Source organism: Homo sapiens, chromosome 5 (assembly GCF_000001405.40).
Source record: "Homo sapiens chromosome 5, GRCh38.p14 Primary Assembly".
NCBI lineage: Eukaryota > Metazoa > Chordata > Mammalia > Primates > Hominidae > Homo > Homo sapiens.
In genome coordinates this window covers 8,444,570-8,468,510 of record NC_000005.10, presented here as the reverse complement: position 1 = coordinate 8,468,510, position 23,941 = coordinate 8,444,570, and the positions used below count along the sequence as shown (strand labels likewise).

Sequence of the window (23,941 nt, the reverse complement as noted above, 5' to 3'; positions counted from 1 at the left end):
TGGAGAGAAGCATGATCTCATAGGTAAGCCCAGTGTAAGAAGTCCGTTCCTGAAAATCATCTAAGCTGGCTATAGGAGGACAGGGCCCACGAGGTGTGAGGAGCATGTCCATGGGAAGGAGCAGCTGTACTTGGGTCAAAGCTTGAGGTGGGTGGGAAGATGTCCATGCAAAGGAAGGATGACTGTCAAAGATTGAGCAAAGTCAGAAGCCTGACCATGATCGGCTGGTGTGGAATGTCAGAACCTAAGACGGATGTGGGCATGGATGGGGTTGGTGTATCAGAGCCTGAGCATCAAAAAGAGGGTTTTTCTACATTCCCTCGCTCTGTGCATTGAGATGAGAGCAAGGACACTCCAATAACTGTAAGCACACTTAGATCCCAGATTTTGATTTAAAATATCATTCTTCATTAAAAGAAACAAGGGCTCTTTGGAGAAATGCCTAGCAGGGGTAGGGTACAAGTACAAGATCTGTCTGGTACTTCTTGAGTCAAAAAACAAGGAAGGAAGGACTGAAAGAATGATGGCAAAATATCAAAAAGACAAAGGAGCTCACATGAATAGTCTCCCATGGGCTAAATCTGGAAGAATTTGAGCATCAAAATATATGATAGTGGTGGGTTATAATCCAATGAATGAAATAAACCACCGTAAGTCCTATTGATATGAACAACTAATGTAAAGTTTCATGAGGAACATACTACATGCATAGTTTTAAAGACCTTCTCCACAGAATGCCTGTTTGTTACAAAGGAAAATAAAACAACTTTATAGCAGAGTAATCTGGAGGACACCACCTTAATTAAGTGATCAAAAATGTACACCACAGGCACTGGAAGAGACATGACAACTAAGTATTGATTCTATGATGATTAGCTGATTGATTAGTTGACAACTAATGTATGATTCTAAACTGATCTCTTCTACTTTATATAAAGGGCATTATGAGAACAATCTTTAAAACATGAATGGAGATCAAGGATTGTATGGTAATTATGCATCAACATTAATTTCATGATTTTGATTGTGCATTGCCCTTAAGCAGAAGAATGTTCTTGTTAGTAGAAAATACTAAATATTTGGGGGTGGTAGGGCATCAGGTTGGCAACTTACTTGAAAATGGTCTAGAAAAAGTTATTTAAGAGATGAAGGAAAAAAAAAAGAAAAAGTTACTTTATACCTGCATTTTTTTTCTGTAAATTTGAGTTGCCTTCAAAATTTTACAAAAGAAAGAAAAAAAGGGAAGGCAATGATAACCATAATACATAGGTAACTGATTTGCTCTGGGGAATGGTATAAAAAAGATAGGATAGGAGTTTTAAAAGCCTTAAGAAAAATACAACGGCAGATTTAAATTCCTGCCTGTTGCTAAGTTGGGTAGCAAATTCATGTGTGTTCATTTTAATATGTATCATAACTTAAATGTATGTTAAATTTCATGTTCTGCCTGTATAAAATATTATAGTGATTTAAAAACTTGCATTTTAAAGAGCATAGGATTGGGAGCACAACAGACCTAATTCTGAAGCCTGGCTGTGCCATTTATTATCCACATGAACTTGGGCAAGATACTTAAGCTTTCTGAATTTCAGCTTCCTCACCTAGAGAATGAGAATAATGAAAACTGTGAAAGGAAATTAAATTTGGGGACCCTAAACTCATTTAGCCAAAGGGAAAAGTCAAGCTGGGAACTGGGTCACACAAACCCACCTCCCCCTTTTGGTTCCTAAATAAGATGGCTACAAGATGAAAAGCTACATGCCTCCTCATATTTTGCCCACAAGGAAATTCCTACTGGCCTGTTAAAATTTCACCATGAGAATGGTAATTGACAGCTTATCTTTACAGGGGCAGTTACCCTGGCCCACCAGACATAAATGCATATCTGATTATTCCCCTTCCCCATTTTGTCTGTTTATCTTACGTAAAATGCAAATTCCCTACATTTTTCCTCTGCCCCATTTGTTTCTGTCATCTTATGTAAAAAATGCAGACTCACTGAGCCAAAGGCATGAGTAACTATTTTTCTCTAGCCCCCTCTTACATGAAAATTGTGTACTTCTCAATTTCCTACCCTTTCCTCTTTAAATTCGGAGCCCTCAAAATTATCTTCGCAGAAGGGCATAGACCTGTCTCCTGGGCACGTGCTTAACGTTGGCAAATAAATCTCCTAAAATGATTGAGACTTGTCTCATCATTTTTCTCAATTGACAGAACTAAGTCATGGAATTGCCTTGAGGACTCAATAGACAATATACATCATCAACACCCTTTACCCAAAGCCCACTGGAACAGCCCTATAAACAGGTTGGGTTTATTCCTCCTTGCAATTAGTGAGAAGACACAGCATAGGGAACCAAGGGATGTCTCAATAAGATGGTGTTATAAAGAGCCTCTTAGAGAAACTGGGCTTTGGTTGGGTGAATTGGCAGAGCATCTAAGGAAGTGGGGGCTTGCTCTAGATTGGAGGGTGTCAGAAATTATAGATTTCTAGGTGAATCTATAACTGAGTATCTCAATAAATATTATCCATAGGGAGGACAGACTAGCATGAAGATAGAGCTATAACTGGTACAGTAGCAGGCACTCATTTGGTGATAGGAATGTTTAGAATTTTGTGTTGCAGAGTGACCTTGTTATTGTCTCATTTTGTTATGATTCCAGACTGCACTTTTTTGATATTCTGTGAGACTGTACATGCCCAATGGCAGAACACAAGAGTCTGGCCATGAACATCAGACTAGCTTGTATTGAGGTCTAAATGTGAATGTCAGATCAGTTCTGGATGTCAGGGGCTGTTTTTGTTTGCTTTCAACATAAATATTTGGCACAGCGTTTAGCACCTGAGTACTTTTAGCTCGCTTAATAAGGAGCTCTGCTAAACTCTGCAGATCAAGCACACATGAGTAGCTGTACCCCCCTCATAGCATCTGAGCTGGATCTTCACCTCTTTGGCTATGTCTCTTATAACAATGATAGATTACACACACACAAACAGAAAACAATAAATGCTAAGTTAGGTTGTTTAGACATAAATAAACTAATCTATGTTAGCATTCTCTCACTCTGAAAAATTGTTGTAATAGCAACATGTTTCCTAACTTAAGAAAACCATGATTCATAAGCTCTAGCCATGAATATTTAAGGGTTGTCAAAGGCAGTATTTGGATTTCCTTTAAGTATCAGCCAGTAATATTTAAAATGAAAAATGTTAGCATTTAACAGAGATGAAAATTTGGAAAAATCATTTAAAAACACCATATATAAGAAGACTTTTATTAGCAATTGAGTTAATGCCCTTCTGCAGATGGGGAAAGTTTATCATGTCAGCTGAAGTATTTTAAACATACTTAAATTAGGTTTTTAGGGTTTTGAGGTAATAAGCCACTTTAATATGTAGGTACTTTAAGCAAAACTGCACCAACAGAACAACTTACAGGCTTCCTAGACTAATCTGGATGACTCAGAACAGAAGGCACTTAGGAACACCTGGCCCTGGACACATGGGAGTTACTGGGCTGTCAGCAGGTAACTTGGGGTATTGGTTTTCTACTCATTTAGCTCTGGATAGGAGTAGATCTAGCTTAAACCTTTCAAGTTTACGAATGCTCACTTAATGCTTAAAATTATAAAATGAAGGATTTACTAATACCTCAGAATAAAAATAAAGTTGCCACTAATGATCCTGATTTATCTTGGATGAATTTTAAAGAGGGGAGTATAATAAATTATGGTCAGTAGAGTTAAAAATTATTTAACAGGCTGGGCGTGGTGGCTCATGCCTGTAATCCCAGCACTTTGGGAGGCCAAGGTGGGTGGATCACGAGGTCAGGAGATTGAGGCCATCCTGGCTAACACGGTGAAACCCCATCTCTACTAAAAATACAAAAACATTAGCTGGGCGTGGTGGCGGGCGCCTGTAGTCCCAGCTACTCGGGAGGCTGAGGCAGGAAAATGGTGTGAACCCGGGAGGCAGAGCTTGCAGTGAGCCGAGCCCACGCCACTGCACTCCAGCCTGCGTGACAGAGCGAGACTCTGTCTCAAAAAATATATATATACAAATTTTTGTACTCAATAATACCCACACGAGACAGTGTTCACTTTACGCTAGGAGCTATTCTAAGTGCTTCTTCGCAAACTGACTTATTTATTCAAATAATGCGGTAAGGACTCCCATCATCCTCATTTAAAGATGAGAAACTGAGGCACTAGCCAAGTCACGATTAGTACGTGTCAGGGCGTTTTCAAACCCATGTGGTCTGTCGCTAGAGTCTATGCTTTTAAACCACTATGCTCTACTGCCCCTCTGAGGAGCCACGGTTCCTATTTTGTGACTCTAGAACCTGATTTTTCCCCCCATCATGATGATGTAGAAATGGATGCTGAGGGCCAAGAGGTCATAGAAAGCAGTGCATGTTCTTTCAGATTCTTTAAAAATTATTGTACCTATAGTTATGTCCCCCTTTTTCATCATGATGTCTATTTCTGCTCTTTTTCCTCAGTTTTTATTAGTCATTTTAATAACAGATTTAGGTTTATTATTTTTTAAAATTTTTCTATTCTGTCATTGCCTGCTTTTTTCTCATTTGTTTCCTTCTACTGGCTTTATTTCATTATTCTTATTTAGCTCTCTAACTTCAAACAGATTTTTAACTTTACTTTTCAATGTCTTTTTCTCTTTTTTTTTTTTTAATACAGGGTCTCACTTTATCTTCTAGGCTGGAGTGCAGTGGCAAGATCATGGCTCACTGCATGCTTGCTCGACCTCCTGGGCTCAAACAATCCTCCCACCTCAGCCTCCCAAGTAGCTGGGACTACATTACACGCCTGGCTAATTTTTGTACTTTCTGTAGAGACCAGATTTCGCCACGTTGCTTAGGTTAGACTCAACTCCTGGGCTCGAGTGATCTGCCCTCCTTGGCCTCCCAAAATGCTGGGATTACAGGTGTGAGCCACCATGCCCAGCCTCAATATGTCTTGAACTCAAATACCCCTAATAATCATGGCTTCTCCTTCTCCTTGATTCCTCTTACAACCACCATGTCAGGTTTTTGTGCCTACCACTCCACAAAAATAGCTCCTCATTCCCCATGACCTGAATGCTGTCAAATCCTATGGATACTTCTCAGTTCTCCTCCTACTTGACCTATCAACTGTAATAGACTCAGTTGCCCATAAGTTCTTCTTGAAACACTTTATTGTTCTCTAGTGTTTCATATTCTTGAGTTTCCTAACTGGCCATTCGTCTCAGTCTTAGTTGCTACTTCCTCCTCCTCCCAATTTCTCAACCAAAATCCTCCTCCAGCATTCATTTCACCACTCCCTTCAGTATACAACAGAAATATAAACATGTAATGATTGGTGATAATCATGTTCTTGATTCATTTGTGTTTAAAACAACTGAAAAGGAAGAATAAGTTTTAAAACTTTTTATTCAGATTCAGAATATTTTATATTTCAACTAAATTTTAAACTTTCTAAATGAAAGTTTACAACTTGAAGTTCACACTGCTGTATTGCTTTAAAACTTAAAAGCAAATAAACTTTGTCAACTAAAATCAAAGTAACCAATATCTGGCCTGCCTGTCTCTAAGATGGCCATGCTGTCACCGCATTCATTATTCACAGTCAGTGACCCTTAGACCAATGCTTACACAAGATTTCTTTCAAATATGACACTGTGGAGATGGCCACAGGAGGTACTACAAAAACCAAGTGCTCGATTACCACTTAACATGTTCAGCTTGAAATGACTGCTACCTTTGCCTTCAATTCCTTCCCACACACCCAGGTATACAAATATCTTTTATACCAAGAGTCCTTGTGAAAGTAAATAGAGGGAACTCCCAGGGATAAGGGAGGGCAAAAAACAGGAAGCACTTGAAGCCAAAATCTGGAGCAACTTTTAAGAAGGAAGAGACGTCCGTCCTATTTTCATATCTCTGCATGGATCTCCCATGGAGAACTTGAGTTAAATGTAATGATTACACGTGGCAGAAAGACAACTCTCTAGCACAGTGTTTCTTTCACATAGGCTGCTACATTGATTCCATAAGCTCAACAATTTTAATAAAAAATATTTCTGCTAAATACTTTATATTCATCATCATAAAAAATGCACAGCCATTTGAAAAAAGGGCAATTACCCTAAATGAATATTGCCAAAGCACAGATCAACTTTATATAGGATTTCTTTCCTTGTTTCTGAAAAATCGCAAACAGAACTGGCAGACTTTATTTAACAAACATTGATTTTGTCCAGGCATGGAGTTTAAATTTTAGTGCATGTGCTGGAGGCAGGGAGAAGTGATGCGAGAAAGTAAAGCAACGACAGGTCATGCGGGGACCAGTGCTACAAAGAAACTAAAGCCAGGGGAAGGGTTGGGGAGGCATGGAGTGGGGTAGGACTACTAAATTTAGACAGAATGGGGTGCTAGAAAAGGTTGACTATGCTGTGGTAACAAATTAGCCCCTGAACCCCAGCGGTGTAGCATAAGTTTATCTCTTACCCACATTCTACGTCCACCACAGGTCACCAGTGGCTGTGCTCTAGTCATTCAGGGACACAGCTGGATGGAGGCTGCACCATCTGAGACACGGGGCACCTCCCTAGTCCTGCCAGAGCCGCAGTAGCAGTGGACCAGAGCTGGAAAGTCACACATGGAGCCTTAAAGTCTTTAAGCAATAAGCCACAACTAGTACCATGGCCCCACCTACTGCAAGAGGGCTGAGAAATGGGAGGAGTTCATAGCATGAGCAATCAATAACTGTCACTGATATCCAGGGAAGTCGTCTCTGACACAGGGAAATCTAAGCAAAGACCAACTAAAGAAAGAAGCTACACAGAAAGTTGGAGACAGGATGATGTCATTTATGATTCCAAGAAATATTCTGTTTGTCTGCCATTTGTTTCCAGTGAACAACCACATCAAATCTTTAATTTAGATATTTTGATAATTAAATGCATTAAAAATCTGTCTCTATTTCTATGCTTAGTTCAAGTAATAGCTTACCTCAGTGATTTTAACAGTCTTACATACCATATAGTATCACTGCCCTTACATTACATCCTTCAATAATTATCCCCTCCCGAGTAAAATCATAATACAAGGGCTGACAAACTCATTCTTGATTGACACACATCTCGACTCCTCACTCATTTCTTCTCCACATATTATTATTTTCTCATTACTTACCTAAAATTTAACCTTATAGATAATGAAAAGGGTTCTGAACATTAAGAAATAATAGAATAGTTATAAATGGAGGAAAAAGTTTGAATAAAAAAGTTTCTTAAAAGGATAGTGTCACTTGCAAAAATAGCTCTTTGAAATACAGGTTCCTATAAACATTTTACACGCATTAAGATATTACTCTTACACATACTGGTAACACAGACACTATACATATTTGTCTCCATTTTAGGAAGAAATGAAGCAAGGCTATTTTTAATAATAAACTTAGAAACAATTCATAACCCCTAGTATTTGCATTAACCTGCAAATACTAGGCAGCACACCACAGCAGAGTGTAACTAAAACCTAAAATAGTGTTTCACTTTCTTCCACACCTACCTCTGTGCGCTCATGCAAGTGTTTTTATTTTGCTTTGCATTAGATGCTTCTGTAATACAGGCATCTGATTCACCCCACATAAAGCTGTTGTAAGTAATCAATGTGAGAAAGTCTACTTATTGTTAAGCATATTTGTATATTTTTTACTAGTTATTTCATACTTGCCCTGAAAGAATACACATTCAAAAAGCTTGAAATTAGGCAATGTCAGTCTCATCAAACAAAACCAGCATTGGAAGCGAATATTAACAAATATCAGAATGAAATTACAAAATATACATCTCCAGCCTCATAAAACATGAATTTTATAAGCACTTTCATAAACATAAGAAAAATAGCTTTGACAATAACTATTTGAAAACATTATTATTAATAATCTTGTATACTGTACATGTGCACTTAAATGTAATAGCACCAACATTCATTATATTATGAAGGGGATACTTTATAAGAATTATAAATTATTTTTACATGATTAAATAATTTTGGCAGAGTAAGTCCGCAGGACTTAAATAACCAGTCAGCCTTAGTATCTACATCTGGACCAGGAAGCCTTTGTGTTACAGACACAGATTCCCTGTGAAGTTCTCCAGGGTGTAAAGAAGGCCCCAGGGAGGTGCCGACGGGATGTGAGGGCTGCCTTTCAGCTCAGGCGAGCCTGCAAGCAACAGGGCAGTTTGGGAAGGGTCACAGGCACAGGAAGGGAGCAGTGGGCAACCATTGATTACATCAAACCAGGATGGTTTCTTCTTTTTAAAGAAACTTTTGTTGAGTGTTTACCCACCCCCATCCACACAAATATGCTCTCTAGGAAATGTGAAAGTATAAGCTTCAGAAAAATGTTTTTCTCATCCTTTAATTTCTGGTTTTATGATCAAATGTTCCGAAGACACTGCTTCTTTTTGCTCAAAATAGTTGACATTGTCATTGCTTCTAGTTTTTCAGCTCCTACTATGCTTACTATGTCCATGGGTGCCATTGACGTCTTTGGCTATTTATCATCTCTAGAAAAGAAAAAAAAACATTAAAATTTTAGGATGTAGGATTCACAATAAATCTCTTACCAAATCCTCCTTAAATCCCTAAACTCTCTACCTGGCTCTGACTCCAGGATCACCCTTTCAGTTCTTTCCATGTTTTTCTTCGGAAAATGTAGTTTCCTAACCTTTCTACCCACCCTTCTCGTCTACTCTTAGGTCTGCAGCCACAGTGATAGTTCTAAGTTGCAAACCTGATCATGTCCTTCCAGTACTTAGTCTTTCAAAAATCTTCCTACTTCCCGCAGAGTGAAGCCTGAACTCTTTAATAGGCATCTAAGGACTTGGACCCGGATCCTGTTAACCTGTTAATTCATCTTTGCCTCTAACTCCCTCCCTTCATCTTTCAAGGCACAGCGCAGGACTTAACTCATTGTGAAAGTACTAAGCCTTGATGTATCTTTAGGAAAAACACACGTATACACACACACGCATGCAAAGAGAGGAAGCATAGCTTAGTGGTTAACCTACATAGACTGCAACTTGCTTAAATAATCCAGTATTTATCTATGTTTTAATAAAATTGTTTTAATAAAAATATATGAAATTCATCTATCTTTTCTCTGGAATGCTTTTGCCTGTTCAAAGATTATACAATGCTCCCGTATGTTACAGAGGAAGCCGTCCCTTCATTTATAAAAGACAGTTAACACATAGCACAAAAACTCTAGAGTAGGATGGATCCGCAACTACTGTACTGGAAATATGCTAAATTAGGGTTCTGATTAGAGTTAATGGAATTAACTTGGGTGAGAGAAAATACTCACCATTAATCTAGGGGTAACAGAGGAGTTAAACTCCAATTCAGAAACAGAGCAGTTCAAAATCAGAATCTAGAGTCAGCCTACATGGGCTTGATCTGGGAATGTGCCCTTTATTAGACGTGTAACCTTGGGCTGCTGCTTGACTGAATAGGTCTTCGATTCCTCATGGAATGAATATAATAAGATCTGATGAATGCAATTAGACAGTGCCTGAAACAGTAGTCTTAAGTAGGTATTTTTGTTGTCCCACTTTTTGAGAAACAAAACCAAAGTCAATTCAATTAAAACTGCAGGTTTCTTGATTTCATCCTAATACTTTGCAAATTAATCACAGAACCCAAGTGAAATTGCCTAGACTCTCAAAGAGTTCGAAAAACATTTCTAATACACTCAAAATTTTCCTAGTTGACGTTCACAGATTATCAAGAGTAAAGCACCTTCATACAGTTTTGATCCTCACACTGTCTAAATCTGAGGAGCTGTCAGGAAAGACATGTAAGGAGAGATCTAAGCTAAAACTCAAACCACACATGAGGCTTTTCAACTGTGACCAACTTGTAGTTAAAATTCAGTTTATGCTTTTCTGTCCACCTAAGAGCAAATTAAACCTTTAAGAAAGCAAAGGATAAAATCATTGTTAGCTCAAGCATTAAAAAAGAAAATAACTGAATATATCTTCTTCAACTCTCCACCCCTAGGGATGAGAACTGCACCTGGCAAACAAGAGGACATTCAACACGTAGTAGCTGTTAAAATGAGTAACTCCCCAAAAGCACTATTAGAAGGCGATATAGTTATTATGACCAAGTTCTGCGGAAACATGGTGTTGAAAACCTTACTGAAGCTAACAATGTGCGTCACCTTCCAGGAGCCACACACACATCCTGAGGGCTTCCCAGATCAACCCCTCATCCCCGCGACAGAGCCACAATCCAGCACCACCTTCCCAGGACTCTCAGCTGAGGCCCCAGCCCCCGCAGGCCCAGGGACGACGCGGCGGGCAGGGCACATGCCTGCGTCGGGCCAGGTGGAAGCTCGGAACGACCACAGGCCCCCGGGGCGCGCCCCTCCCCGTCACGCGCCCCGTTTCCCACGTCCACGCATGCGGTTTCCCCAGGCCTGGAAAGCGTCTAGAGCCAAAGAGCCCAGGGGCTTGCCCGCGCAGAGGCCGACGTGGGGCCCAGGGACGCGCTCCCGGGGTCCTCCCCGCCGAGCCCGCAGCCAGCACCCGGAGCGATCCCCCGAGCCCGAGGGGCGTGGGAACCACGCGCGCAAGCCGGCTGCCCTTCCAGTCCCGGGACGCTTCCCCATCAGGCCAGTGCTAGGCGGGCGGTCGGGACCCGGGGATCGCAGCCTCCGGAGCGCTCACCTGGGTGGCGCAGGCCAAGGACGCCCATGGACAGCGCGACCTCCTCCCATTCCACACACGCGCCCACGACCAAAGTGCGCATGCTCGACACCTGGGACCAATAGGAATCTCGGTCCGAGGGTAGCTGGGGCCAATCACAGCGCGTCTGGCGTGTGGGCGGTGTCTCCTCGTGTTACGCGTGCGCGGAGGGGCTGCGCTACCCGGTCTTGGGTTTTTCATCGGGGAGTGGGAGTGGACTGAAGGCTTGGCCGCTCCGCCTCACTGAGCCGGCTCAGCCAGCGCAGCTGTTCCTGGAACGCCAGTCCCTTAGGATGGGAGGTACTTTCATCTCGAAGAGGGCCGTGGCGTCTGGAGCTTCCCTCCCTTCTGTCCTGCTGAGTCATCCCCGCGTCGCCTGCGAGGCCGCGAGGCGTTTAGGTCTGGGCAGGCCGCCTTTTCCCCATCACGAGATCCTGTTATTTTACTGTTTCATTCTTTTTCTCACTTTCCTATTTGTTAAGCCAAACTTTTTCCTTCCATAGACGTGACCCCTTAGAAGGCTACCCATGCCTCGACATATCTGACATTTGACGTTTTACTCAAATAATTTGCCAAAGTCTATTGCCTTTTTTAACTTCTATTTTCTAAAGCTAGTTTGATACTAATCAACACAGTTTTTTCAACAAGCATGTAAGTGTGCATATTCTAGACATGCGCGGCCTGAGTTTAACCCATCTGCTACTAATTTGTGTTGTCTCGGAATATTATCTAATCCCGTGCTTCAGTTCTCATATATAAACTGAAACTTTATAGATTCACTGGTGGCCTGTAAGCCTGGCCTGTAAGCCTTAAGTTGAAACATGGAGCATATCAGAACTGTGCCTGGCACGTGGTGAAATGTTCAAAAGTTAGTATTGTTATTAGGTGCTGGGCACTTTTCTAGGCTTTGGGATATAGAGATCAATGTCCCTGATGTCCTGGTGTTTATAATTTATTGTGGACACTTTGCTATTTTTTTGGATACAGATCTTTATTTTCATAAACATGGATAATTTTCATTGAGTGCAGTGTGATCTCAATTGATACTTTTGTAGTATTTCATCATTATGCTTATATTCTTTTTAAAATTTAGGTACTGTTGAGGGAAAGTGAGAATGACATGATTTTGATAACATGGTAGAACCTTTTTCATTCATCTGGTGTTGCCACACTGGGGCTCTGGGTGCTTTATGAATCATGTTCACAAGTCATACTTGTGTCTGTCCATGGTTCTTTTCACTACAGCCACCATAGTTCAGGGTGAGATTTTTCACACCGACTGTAAAGATTTATCTGTGGAAAATGGTAATGAGCTTGCCTGGTTGATGTCCTGTTGTTTTCCCAAGTACATACTTGGAAGAGAGTGAACAGAAGACTAAAACGTGGGTCAACAGATGTTTTGCAGTGAGCTAAAAAATAATTGACTTCACTAGAACAACTGCTTGATATTCTACAGCAGTTTTGCAGGTTTCTGAAGTGGAAGAAGCAGATAGTGATGGAATGCTGCTAAAAGAAATATAAGAGAATAATAACACCCTTGGTGCTTGTTAATTTCATTTTGAATTTTTTTTTTTTAAGTTGTCAGTTACATGTTTGGTGACTGCTTTGAAAGTTCTGATTCTGTTGCATGTGGATCCACAAGGTAGCTTAGGAAGCCTGATGGCAGAATACAAATTGTCTTAAAAGAGTTCATAGGTATTCACAATCTTTGTATTGAAGAAAGTATGATGAAACTCCCCAGGTCCAGTTAGGGCAGCACTGGGAATGCAAGGTGAGAAATTGGAAGAATTTACCACACACAAAAAAATGATGTGTCTGTATTAGTCCATTCTTGTATTGCTATAAAGAAATACCTGAGACTGGGTAGTTTATAAAGAAAAGAGGTTTAATTGGCTCACAGTTCTGCAGGCTGTACAAGCATGCTGCTGGCATCTGTTAGACTTCCAGGGGAAGCCTCAGGGAGCTTTTATTCATGGTGGAAGGCCAGCAGGAGGAAGAGAGAAAAGTGGTGGGGAGGTGCCACAATTTACAGCAACCAGATCTTGCAGGAACTTAGTATCAGGAAGTCAGCACCAAGCCTGAGGGATCTGCCTCCACGACCCAAACACCTCCCACCAGCCCCCGCCTCCAACACTGGGGATTAAAATTCAGCATGAGATTTGGTGGGGACATATATTCAAAACGTATCAGTGTCATTTTATGAAATATTCTGGGCTAAAACAGTGGATCTACAAGCAACTTTTAAAAAGAAGATAATTAACATCTCTCAGTTGACAGTTTCTAACTTGAATCCTAAATAGGCCAAGTGTGCAGCAAGCTTGTGGTTTTTGATCAGACACTACCTGTGAGCTCTCTTTTTCTTAGTTCTAATAAGGAAATAGATACTAAGTCTTAGAAATTTTTAAATACTTTGGGCACAATAACATTTTTTTAAACAAAGACCTAGAGCAACATGTTGCTGGACTTTCTGAGCAAAGAAAGTCAAGTGATATAGAAAACTGACTCCTGGGCCAGGGGTGGTGTCTCACGCCTGTAATCCCAGCACTTTGGCAGGCCGAGGTGGGCAGATCACGACATCAGGAGTTCAAGACTAGCCTGGCCAATGTGGTGAAACCCATCTCTACTAAAAATACAAAAATTAGCCGGGCATGGTGGCATGTGCCTGTAGTCCCAGCTACTTGGGAGGCTGAGGCAGCAGAATTGCTTGGACCCGGGAGGCGAAGGTTGCAGTGAGCAGAGATTGTGCCATTATATTCCAGCCTGAGCGATAGAGCAAGACTCCGTCTCAAAAAAAAAAAAAAAAAAAAAAAGAAAGAAAAAAGAAAACTGACTCTTTCAAAATCCATTTTGAATGTAATAGCAAAAAGTTGTTTTCCCCCTTGCAAATTACAGGCATATGTCAGAGATATTGGGGGTTCAGTTCCAGACCACCTCAATAAAGTGAATATCACAATAAAGCATGTCAGATGAAGTCCTAGACAGCATCTCATTCCACATAAGGCTATTTTGCCTACACTGAGAAGCTGTTGTTTAGTGTAGCCACCTTTATCAATGATCTTAGCTGGATCTTCTGGATAACTCGTGGCAGTGTCTACACTAGCACTTGGTGCTTCACATTGCACTTTTATGTATGGAGACAGCTTCTTTCCTTAAACCTCATCAGCCAATGTCTGCCAGCTTTAAACTTTTCTGCAGCTTCCTTATGTCTCTCAGTCATCATAGAAAAGAAGAAAATTAGGGCTTTGTCCTGGATTAGACATTGGCTTAAGGAAATGATATGTCTGGTTTGAATCTCTCCAGACCACTAAAACTTTCCGCAGATGAGCAGAAAGACTGTTTCACTTTCTTATTATCCCTATATTCCCTGAGGTAGCACTTTTAATTTTTTTTCAAGAACGTTTCCTTTGCATTCACAACTTCGCTACCCATTTGGCACAAAAGGCCTAGCTTTCAACCTATCCAGCTTTTGACATGCCTTCCTTGCGAAGCTTAATCATTTCAAGCTTTTGATTTAAAGTGAGAGACTTGCAAGTCTCCCTTTCACTTGAACACCTAGAGGCCACTGTAGGGTTATTAATTGGCCTAGTTTTAACATTGTGTCTCAGGGAACAGGGAGACTTAATGGGAGGGAGAGAGATGGGGAACAGCTGGTTGCTGGTGCAGTCAGAACACACATATTTACCAGTTCAGTTTAAAGTCTTCTATGGGTGTGGCTCTTGGTGCCCCCAAGCAATTATAATAGTAACATCAAAGATCACTCGCCACATATCATCATAACAGATATAATAACAAGAAAAAGTTTGAAATAGTGTGAGGATTACCAAAATGTGACACAGATACACAAACTGAACACATGCTGTTGGAAAAATGGCGCTGATAGACTTGCTCAATGCAAGGCTGCCACAACCCTTCTATATATATATATATATGTATATAAAATACAGTATCTGTGAAACTCAATAAAACAAAATGTACAATAAAACAAGTATGACTGAATAAACTTTTAGTACCTCAGGTTTTCAATTAATAAAATCACCTGGGAAAGTCAATTACTTGCCATGAAAACCTGCATTTTGTTTGGAAAACTAGAAAATACGTGATTCCCTCACTTTTATTCTTTTCATGCATAATATTGTTAAACTCTTAATTCATGTTCACTGATCAGATATAATCATCTGACTTATGCTAAACACATTTAGCTCTTATTTTCTTCATTAGTTTCAAGATGAGCTGGTTATAACTTAGACTAGAATAATTAGTGTTTGAAATTTTGATGTTTCAGAGTCCAGGAATCCTTATACCCAGCAATGTTTTGACTTTCTTTTCCATAATGGTCTAAAAAAAGTCATGTGGTAAAGCGTTTGAATTAGAAGAAAATAGTTAAAGAAACTTAACTATTTTATGGAAAGGGAAGCAGGCAGTTTCCAGAAGAGCAGGATCTTTACTTACCTAACTAAAGAGTTGCAATATAATTTTGGAGATAATATTGATAATAATAACCACAATAATATATGTTAGAATCTTTCATGAAAGAGCAAATGTCTAAATGTCACTTTGGACATTTTCTTAAGAGGGTTAGTTTATAATTTTATATCAAATCAAGTCTACCTAGATACTTCAGATGACTGGATCTCAGTTAAAGGAAATATATACTGAGGATAAATAAAGAAAAATAGATCATATTATTTTGGAGATAAATATTTATAATCATTGAATCATGCAGAAAATTATTTAAACTAGCAACAGAAAATTCTTATATATCAATGTGAAATTTTGGGGGAACATAAAAATACAAATCAGTAAAAAGGAACTTAACATAGATAAGCTTTTCTTAGAGGTGGCAAGGGAAATTGACAAGGGAAACTTCTGATTTTAAGTCACAGAAAGTATGCGAGTTTCATTTGATCCGATATAAATGCTTCATTGTCAGGTTGAGAGACAGGACAGGAATGGCAAGAAAGGCAGGAATGAGGGATCATGGATAGAAAAGGCTCTGAAGTTGGGAAAATTGAGTCTGGGTCGTTTCATCATCAGATAGTTCTGTCAAGAAGGAACAAGAAGAAGGAAAGAAATGGTATTATTTTCTCACTTAATGCCCATTCATGTCAGGCCACGTACCAGGTACTTTCATTACATGCCAACCATGTGACTTGGGACAAGTTAATTCCCAAGTCACAGTTTCCTTGGAGATGATACTAGTAGAATTGTGTGAGAATTAAGTTACTCAATACATGTAAAACACAAACATGGTAGCACATGTTATTGAATACATGTAAAACATAAACATAGTAGCACAAAGAAAGTATACTGTAACTATGATAACGATTATGTCTGATTTTGTCACACTATGCTGGTGCCTCACTTTATCTTTGGGGTCTGTTTATTCATCAGTAAAACTCAGGGAGAGGGGGGTTAGGTGAGTTGATCTCTAAGATTATTCATAAAATGTTCTGGTTCTTTTGTTTTAGAGAGCGGAGAAGGCAAAGAGGAACAGACTGGGAAAGAGACTGGATAGATTCTAATATGGTAAAGTACTCAGTTAATTAGTCTGTCTACTTGGAGGCTAGCTTTAAAGCATTTTTTGCTCACTTTAAAATCAGGTAGTTAGTTGATTTCCAATTCTTATCAGATCTGTGCTATTGAAAATGATGTTTTGGACCTTTAATCTAAGAGGTTTGTAGACATCGTTTTGATTGGAAGGTTCATGAACCTTCAGAAAGTGTAAAGTATGTACCATATACATGTATTTTTCTGGAGGCAAGCTCTACATTACATTGTTTTTAAAAGCATAGGTGACTCCCCTTCTAAATCTTAATAATTACTGACTTAATCCCTTCTACATATCCCATTCTATACCCCAGCATTTCTTTCATACCATTTACGGTGGGACAAAAATACTTTTATACCGTGACTATTGTCACAGTATACACAGCTCTTCCCCACACCTCTTTGTTACCCATTTTCCAGTCTGGTCCTTTGACATTTTGGATTATCTGCACAATCTATTAGCTTATGTACATAGATATATACCCCTGATAATTTCCTTCCAGGAAAAGGAACACTTGGGGGCATTTTTTGGAGTTCTACCCACAGAAAGTGTTTACCTTTGCCATAGTCCTTCACGGTTCCTGAAGAATGGGGCTGCTGAAGGGTTTTCTTGGATGGGGCAGTAATCTCGCAGTTCTCCACTTTAGGTGATGCCAGCATGTTACATAGAATTATCAGTAAACGAGACTCAGCATTTTCCTCCTCCATCAATATGTTACAGTATGCTTGCGTTGAGAGACAGCAGTTAATGCAGCAAGAGGAGGAGCCATGCAAATCTGAGCCTCTTACTTTTACCTTTAGGTCTTGCTTGAGACCAATCTCGTATATAAAACTACAACTTGTAATGGAGTGCTGCTATACACACGTTTCATTACTTGTTTTTTCAGACATTTCCCAGTTCTTGAAGGGCAGAAGAGGTTGAATGGTTACTTAGTGGCTCAGAGTCAGACATTCTATCTCTACTAAGGTCCAGTAGCACACCAGGAGCTATCAAAAGAGAACACTGTGTGTGCAAAAGATGACAAAGTTTTGCTCCAAAATCCTGAAGTTTTGCATTGTGCTTCTACAGCGACCTCTCGAAGGTTCTAAACAGCATTTGCATCTGCCACAAACATGTTGAATACTTTTGGATCTGCTAGGTCATGAGGCCCCAGTAGCAGATCAGTTTGTATGACAGCCCAGACCTATATGTAGAGCAGTATTTTCCTCTGGTCACCATTCAATACTGATAGCCTCTAAGATTTCCCATTAAAGAGGTAGCACACTACAGATCCAAAAAGGCCTTCGCCTTATATCTCAGTGTGCCCTCTGAACAGTGGACCTCTCACCAAGACATCTAAGAAGGTGGCAGTGCCTTACAGTTTTAGGTATTTATTCCTGTCCTTGGTATACATGTGTGTCTGTGGTCAGGGTGTCTGGGATATTTGCGACTTTGTGCTTACTAGGTCTGATCAGCACTGTAGAAGGCCAGCATCATGTCCCGTGGAATGCAGAGGTCACCAAGATTCTCATGGATATATTATTACATAGGACTGCAGAGTTGATATAGTCTGGAAGTTAGACAATTTTGCAGATTCTGCCAGCTGAAAGCAAACTGTTTCAGTACACTTCATTAAAAAATATAGCCATAAAAGCATTCACCAGATTTATAGCCACATACCTGGTAATGGATTGTGTTCATTTTTTTCAATGAAATGAACACACACACACAACTGAACAGCAGTTACCACTGGAGTCGCCATATGATTAAGTTTATATTCTATTGCCATTTTCCAAGATTCAAGTCTCCTGCACAGCCCCTGCGTCCTTTAAGTTCCTGATGGAGGCGCTAATCTCCACATCTCTTCCATGAGTGTGGTTATTGCTTTTATTACTTTGGTAGTAGAGACAGTTCAACTTCATATTTCTTCTGTAATAGTCCTCAGTCAACAAATCAAGAAACCCGTATAGAAATATTTCCAGGGCTGAGTATTTGGATTCCAACTTTGCATTTTGGAATTGGAGAAAAAATACCACAGAATAGATTTGGGGACCTTCTGGCCCCATGTGAGATAGAACTGTGCTAAAACTACATTAATCAATTCTGTAAACTCCTACTTTGACTAATGAACCATAACAACACTTTGGGTTCCTAAGAATAAGTATCTCTTTAGAGCCTATGAAGAGCATTTATTTCTCTTCCACAAAGCACACTGACCTGGTAAAGAGTTTCAGGTACTTTGGAAATGAATAAGAGGAAGATTTAAATTCTTAATTTCTGACAGTGTAGTATTGTTCCTTCCCTAAAGAGATCAGGCTTCCATTTCATTCAAAAGGCTCTTGGGCCTGTGAATAGGGCTATAAACTCTATTGCAGTGATTCAAGTGATACATCAATTTGTTTACTAGACGTAAAACCTCTCTGTTTGATTATACAAATAAACAATTTAAAAGGCTTCCATTGGCCAGGCACAGTGGCTAACGCCTGTAATCCCAGCACTTTGGGAGGCTGAGGCGGGTGGATCACGAGGTCAGGAGATCGAGACCATCCTGGCTAACAGGGTGAAATCCCGTCTCTACTAAAAATACAAAAAAATAGCCAGGCGTGGTGGTGGGCGCCTGTAGTCCAAGCTACTCAGGAGGCTGAGGCAGGAGAATGGCCTGAACCCGGGAGGCGGAGCTTGCAGTGAGCTGAGATCGCACCACTGCACTCCAGCCTGGGTGACAAAGCGAGACTCCGTCTCAAAAAAAAAAAAAAAAAAGCCTCCATTTTCCAAATCTTTCTCAGAGTCTTTCTGTGAACTGTAAACTTGATTTTTAGCCAACTGCAATGGCGTGTGCCTCTGGTCCCAGCTTGAGAGGCTGAGTCAGGAGGATTGCTTGAACCCAGGAGTTTGAGGCTGCAGTGAGCTACAAATATATACTGCCTTCCAGCCTGTGCAAAAGAGTGAGAACCCATCTCTAAAAAAATAAAAAATAAAAGTATTTGAGTTTCTCAAGGAACTGGGAAATATAGTTTATAACTTTAGCCAAGTTGATGCAGCACAATCCAGCAAAAGATAGGTGCATGGTTGATCACAGTTTAATATGATATGCACACTCACACTGAAATTCATGCAAAACTCGATGGTATTATACAAGAATTTAGGACTTAAAGAAAATCAGAAAATGACACCTGGAGTGATTTGTGGGCTGAATTTTAGAAGGAAAATAGGTGATGGGAGTGATGGAAGAGCATTTCCGGCAGTATTCCAGATAGGACATTGACAAATGATGAATAGTTTACCGTAACTGGAATATGCAATGCATTGCACGCAGAGTAGATACTTGAGCTGAGGCTAGATCTGACTTTTTCTGGCGCGGTTTGAAAAACAATCTCTAGCCCAGCAATTGTGCATGCATTTTATGAAGATAATTTAGGCTGGTAAAAATTTACCTACACTCATCAAAATAGGAGACACACATTAAGATTTTAATTGAACATTGATTCCATATTTTGCATTGATTAAATTCACAGGAGACATTGCAACAGTTTAATTAAGTTACTTTTTCCCAAACCATAATGTAAGTGGTCAAATAGTGTTTTAATTATTTGAACAACTTTCTTTTTCTTTTTTTCTGATTAGTTTTTTTTCGTGTTTTTCAGGAAGAATATTAAAACTAGATACGGATTTGTGTGTGTGTCTGTGTGAAGTGATCAGTTATTAACGTGTGAAATGCTTTCACTTCTGTCTGTATGAACCACAGAGCAGGCCTTCACCTTGAGGCCTAACAGGATTTAATGACACAGGATTGTGATGTGTTGTGTTATATGTCAGCATAGGTAGGACATAGTACCCAGTTTTGCCAGTTTTGGGTCAAACACTGGTCAAATTGTCGCTACGAAGACTGTTTTTTTTTTTAGATGATATTAACATTTCAATCAGTAGACCTTGAGTATAGCAGTTACCAACCATAATGTGAGTAGGCCTCATCCCACCAGTTGAAGGCATTAAGATAAATGACTCAGGTTCCCCAAGGAAGAGAGAATTTTGCCTCCAGACTGCCTTCAGGCTTGAGGCTGTAACATCAATTCTTTCTTGGGTCTTCAGACTGCCAGTTTAACCTGCAGATTTTATGCTTGTCAGCTTCCAAAATTGTGTAAGCCAATTCTTTAAAATAAAATTTCTCTCTATATATGCATGTCTGTTTCTCTGGAGATAACTGACTAGTACAAAAATAAACCAAACATTGTTTTAAAACATCAAGTTTAAAAGCATTTTTTGTGCACAAAGAAGTGCTGTTTACTTTTTTAAAAGAATTGTGAATTTGAATAAATCATTGATAACTTATAATCAAGACTGGATTATTTATAGTGTTGGGAACAATATTGGCATGCATAATTGAGTTTAAACATGGTCTCCAAATTCAATTTTTACCAACAGTTTTCAAACCATTTACCAACAAATCAATTGACTCTAAAATGGATAGATTTTTTCCCTATTTTATATTATTATAGGGCTACAAATAACTATTGAAATAGCAAAAATATTGAAATGAAAGGGAAGAAAATATCATCTCCAAGTTGATGATAAGCACTGTATAAGAAATCTAAGATTAAACAAAATAACCAGATGCATTGGTTTACATCTGTAATCTCAATGCTTTGGGAAGGTGAGGTGGGAGAATTGCTTGAGGCATGGAGTTCAAGACCACCCTGGGCAACATGATGAGACCCCATCTCTACATAAATCAATTTAAAAACAAACAAATAAAATTTAACATGGAATATACCTATTGGAAAAATAAGGCAGTATTGTTATCATAGCAAAAAATATAATTGTACAAATTTATGGTTGTTATGAGTTGAATTGTGTCCCCTAAAAATTCACATGATCAAGTCCTAAACCCCAGTACCTCAGAATTTAACTTTATTTGGAGATTATTTCTTTATAAAATGAGAAATTTGGAGACAAACCCCAATATAGGGAGAATGCCATGTAAAGATGAAAGCAGAGATAAGATTCTTCAAGAAAGCCAAGGAATACAAAACATTACCAACAAACCACCAGGAGCCAGGGAGAATCTTGGGCCAGATTCTACTTCAACTCTGAAGCTACCATAATCTTGGATTCCTAGCTATGACACAATAAATTTCTGTGATTCAAGCCACCCAGTTTGTGGTACTTTGTTGTAGCAGCCCTACCAAAGTAACTTAATAGTACGAATCAATTTTTCTTTAATAAACATAATGAAGAAATGTAATTGTTAATTTCCTGATTATTCAACTAATCTCAGAATTATTCTAGATTGAGTATCCCTTATTTGAAATGCTTAGGACCCAGAAGTGTCTAGGATTCTGGATATTTTTGGGGGTGGATATTGGAATATTTTCATAGGCATGCTGAGATATATTAGGGATAGGACCAAAGTCTACACATAAAATCTATTTATGTTTCATAGGTACGTTATATACCTAGCCTGAAGGTAATTTTATATATTTTAAATAATTTTGTGCATGAAATAAAATGTGTGCACACTGAACCATCAGAAAGCAATGGTGTCAACAATCTCAGCCATCCACATGGACAGTCTGTGGTTGTTTGTCATCCCCATCATTCCTGACTTTGAATTTACATGCTATCAATAAGCAATCATTTCTTTACACTTATTCACACATAAGTAATTAACAGTAAAAAATATGACATACCATTAGTACAGTGAAAAATTAATGTGTTCAGGATAAGTAAGCAGCACAGTAGCACCCCCAGAACACTTGTATCAGCTGTTAAACAACAACAGCAACAAGCAGCAGGCATTCAGTTTCCAGTTATGATGTGGCATTTTGTTTAAAATATTACTGTACACTGCATTTTACTTTATTTTTAGGTGAAAACATCAGAAGCAGTTCAGGGACTAGGAAGTGGGAACTCTAGAGATGACAGACATTCTGCTGGGTGGTTTTTAAAGTTTCTTCCAGAGTCATCTGCCTCATTAACAACAATTTTTGTGGAAGAAGTCTGTCTTTGATTTTATGAACTCACGTGACTCCTTGGTCTGTTACGAATGCACAATGCTCCAGTCCTTCAATAAGCCCATTACATACTTTCACCATGTCATCTATAGGTGCTTTTTCTCCAGTGTAAACATCATCTTCGTCATCACTCTTACAATGCTCACCTTGATTCAGAACCATTTTGACCATTCACATCAGTCAATGAATGAACAACTGAAGTGTCATCATGGACAGTAAAAACTTCTTCCATATCCTCTTCTTTCAGCCTACTGACAGACTCGGAAGGTGTATATTTCACATATGGCAGGAGGTCAGACTTTTTTTTCAACTTGACATACAGAATCCTTCAAAGTCACTACCTTGTTCTTCATCATCACTGAGCATACCTGCAGGCCAGATATTGCACCACGCATGCACAACTGTGTCTCTAGTTATTGTGTTCCAAGTGTTGGAACAGTATATATGGCATCTTTCACGCCAAACTCTTTTGAAAACTTTCCACACCCATGCCCCTGTTCCCTGCTGCTAGCCTGCTGTTCAAGAAAGTGTTTTTATATTTACTCTTCTTCTGTATATGGTGTGAAAGGAAAATAAATCTCAGGACCCCCAAATCACTAAGCCAAATGAAAAAGTCAAGGTGGGAATTGCATCAGACAATTTGCCTCACATTTTATTCCTAAAGAAGATAGCTACAAAGATAAAGAGAGAGAGAAAGAAAAAGAAAGAGAAAGAAAGAAAGAAAGGAAAGAAAGAAAGGCAAGCAAGCAAGCTACATACCTTCCTCACAATTTGCCCACTTGGAAATTCCTTGTGGGCTCAAGATCTTTACCCTAAAATGGTTCTGTTGAATTTTATCCTGACAGTGTAAATTGATAGCTTATCTAAACAGTTGCAGGACAAAGGACAAAACCGAAAGTCATCCCTCTGCTCACTTAAGACAAATGCACATCTGAATGCTTCACCTGATGTAAAAGTGTGATTCACTGAGCTACATGAAAGCATGAGTGACTATTATTCCTCTACCCACCACCCCCCCAACCCCCCCTCCCTGCCAACATGTAAATTGTGTATTCAGTGAAAGGCTGATCAAACACAAAAAAGAATGAAACAATTTGTCTCTTATCTACCCACAACTTTAAAAGATGTATTCCTTTTTCCCCAATATCCACCCTTTCCCTTTAAATATTGAAGCCCTCAAAATAATCTTTGGAGAAAGGCACAGACATGTTTGCTTGGTGTACATATTTAACCTTGGCAAAATAAACATTCTAAATTCATTGAGACCTGTCTCAGATACTTTTGTTTACAAAGGATACCCTGGTCACATGGTTGAATTAATGAAGTCACATTTGGGAGAAAGTACATGGCATAAATATTTTTCATGAGAATTTCAGCTGGAACGAGAGCAGTGCAGTTGTCAAGGAATAACAAAATATTGCAGTTGTCATCTAGTCCAGGTTCCCTGCAGTAAGCATGAGCCACTGGTACAAAATGTTTGTAAAACCAGTAAGAAAAGATGGCCCTGGTGATCCATGCCTTTTATTAGCATAATAATGGGCTGGTAAGAAAGTCACTCCTGAAAACAGCAAGGATACAAGTTTTGCCTATCGCAACAAGTTTACATGTATGCATGCCTGCGGCATACGCTCATCCCAGAAT

General features: G+C 39.4%; 2 long non-coding RNA genes, 1 other non-coding gene and 1 pseudogene across 3 annotated transcripts in view, besides 3 other annotated features; 2 read left to right on the top strand and 2 right to left on the bottom strand.

The window, feature by feature from the left end:
* Positions 1-5,414: 5,414 nt before the first annotated feature.
* On the bottom strand, positions 5,415-10,824 carry MIR4458HG (MIR4458 host gene). Its single transcript, NR_039989.1, has 2 exons — positions 10,745-10,824; positions 5,415-8,578 (listed from the first exon to the last, which is right to left on the bottom strand). It is a non-coding gene; the product is annotated as an MIR4458 host gene (long non-coding RNA).
* On the bottom strand, positions 7,512-7,586 carry MIR4458 (microRNA 4458). The gene has a single exon (NR_039663.1). It is a non-coding gene; the product is annotated as a microRNA 4458 (primary transcript).
* Positions 10,495-10,554: a silencer, noted in NCBI's record as "silent region_15908". NCBI's record gives its function as "represses an Ori minimal core promoter by ATAC-STARR-seq in GM12878 lymphoblastoid cells {active_cell/tissue: GM12878}" and the evidence as "EXISTENCE:reporter gene assay evidence [ECO:0000049][PMID:35858748]".
* Positions 10,565-10,614: a silencer, noted in NCBI's record as "silent region_15907". NCBI's record gives its function as "represses an Ori minimal core promoter by ATAC-STARR-seq in GM12878 lymphoblastoid cells {active_cell/tissue: GM12878}" and the evidence as "EXISTENCE:reporter gene assay evidence [ECO:0000049][PMID:35858748]".
* A 122-nt stretch (positions 10,825-10,946) lies between the features above and the next one.
* The window catches only part of LINC02226 (long intergenic non-protein coding RNA 2226), a 124,082-nt gene continuing 111,087 nt past the window's right edge, over positions 10,947-23,941 (top strand). The window contains exons 1-2 of the long non-coding RNA NR_039984.1: positions 10,947-11,062; positions 16,231-16,288. This is a non-coding gene — a long non-coding RNA (long intergenic non-protein coding RNA 2226). The remainder of the gene's footprint in view (positions 11,063-16,230; positions 16,289-23,941) is intronic.
* Positions 11,135-11,234: an enhancer, noted in NCBI's record as "active region_22347". NCBI's record gives its function as "activates an Ori minimal core promoter by ATAC-STARR-seq in GM12878 lymphoblastoid cells {active_cell/tissue: GM12878}" and the evidence as "EXISTENCE:reporter gene assay evidence [ECO:0000049][PMID:35858748]".
* LOC100419318 (FAST kinase domains 3 pseudogene) lies at positions 11,953-12,565 on the top strand (annotated as a pseudogene).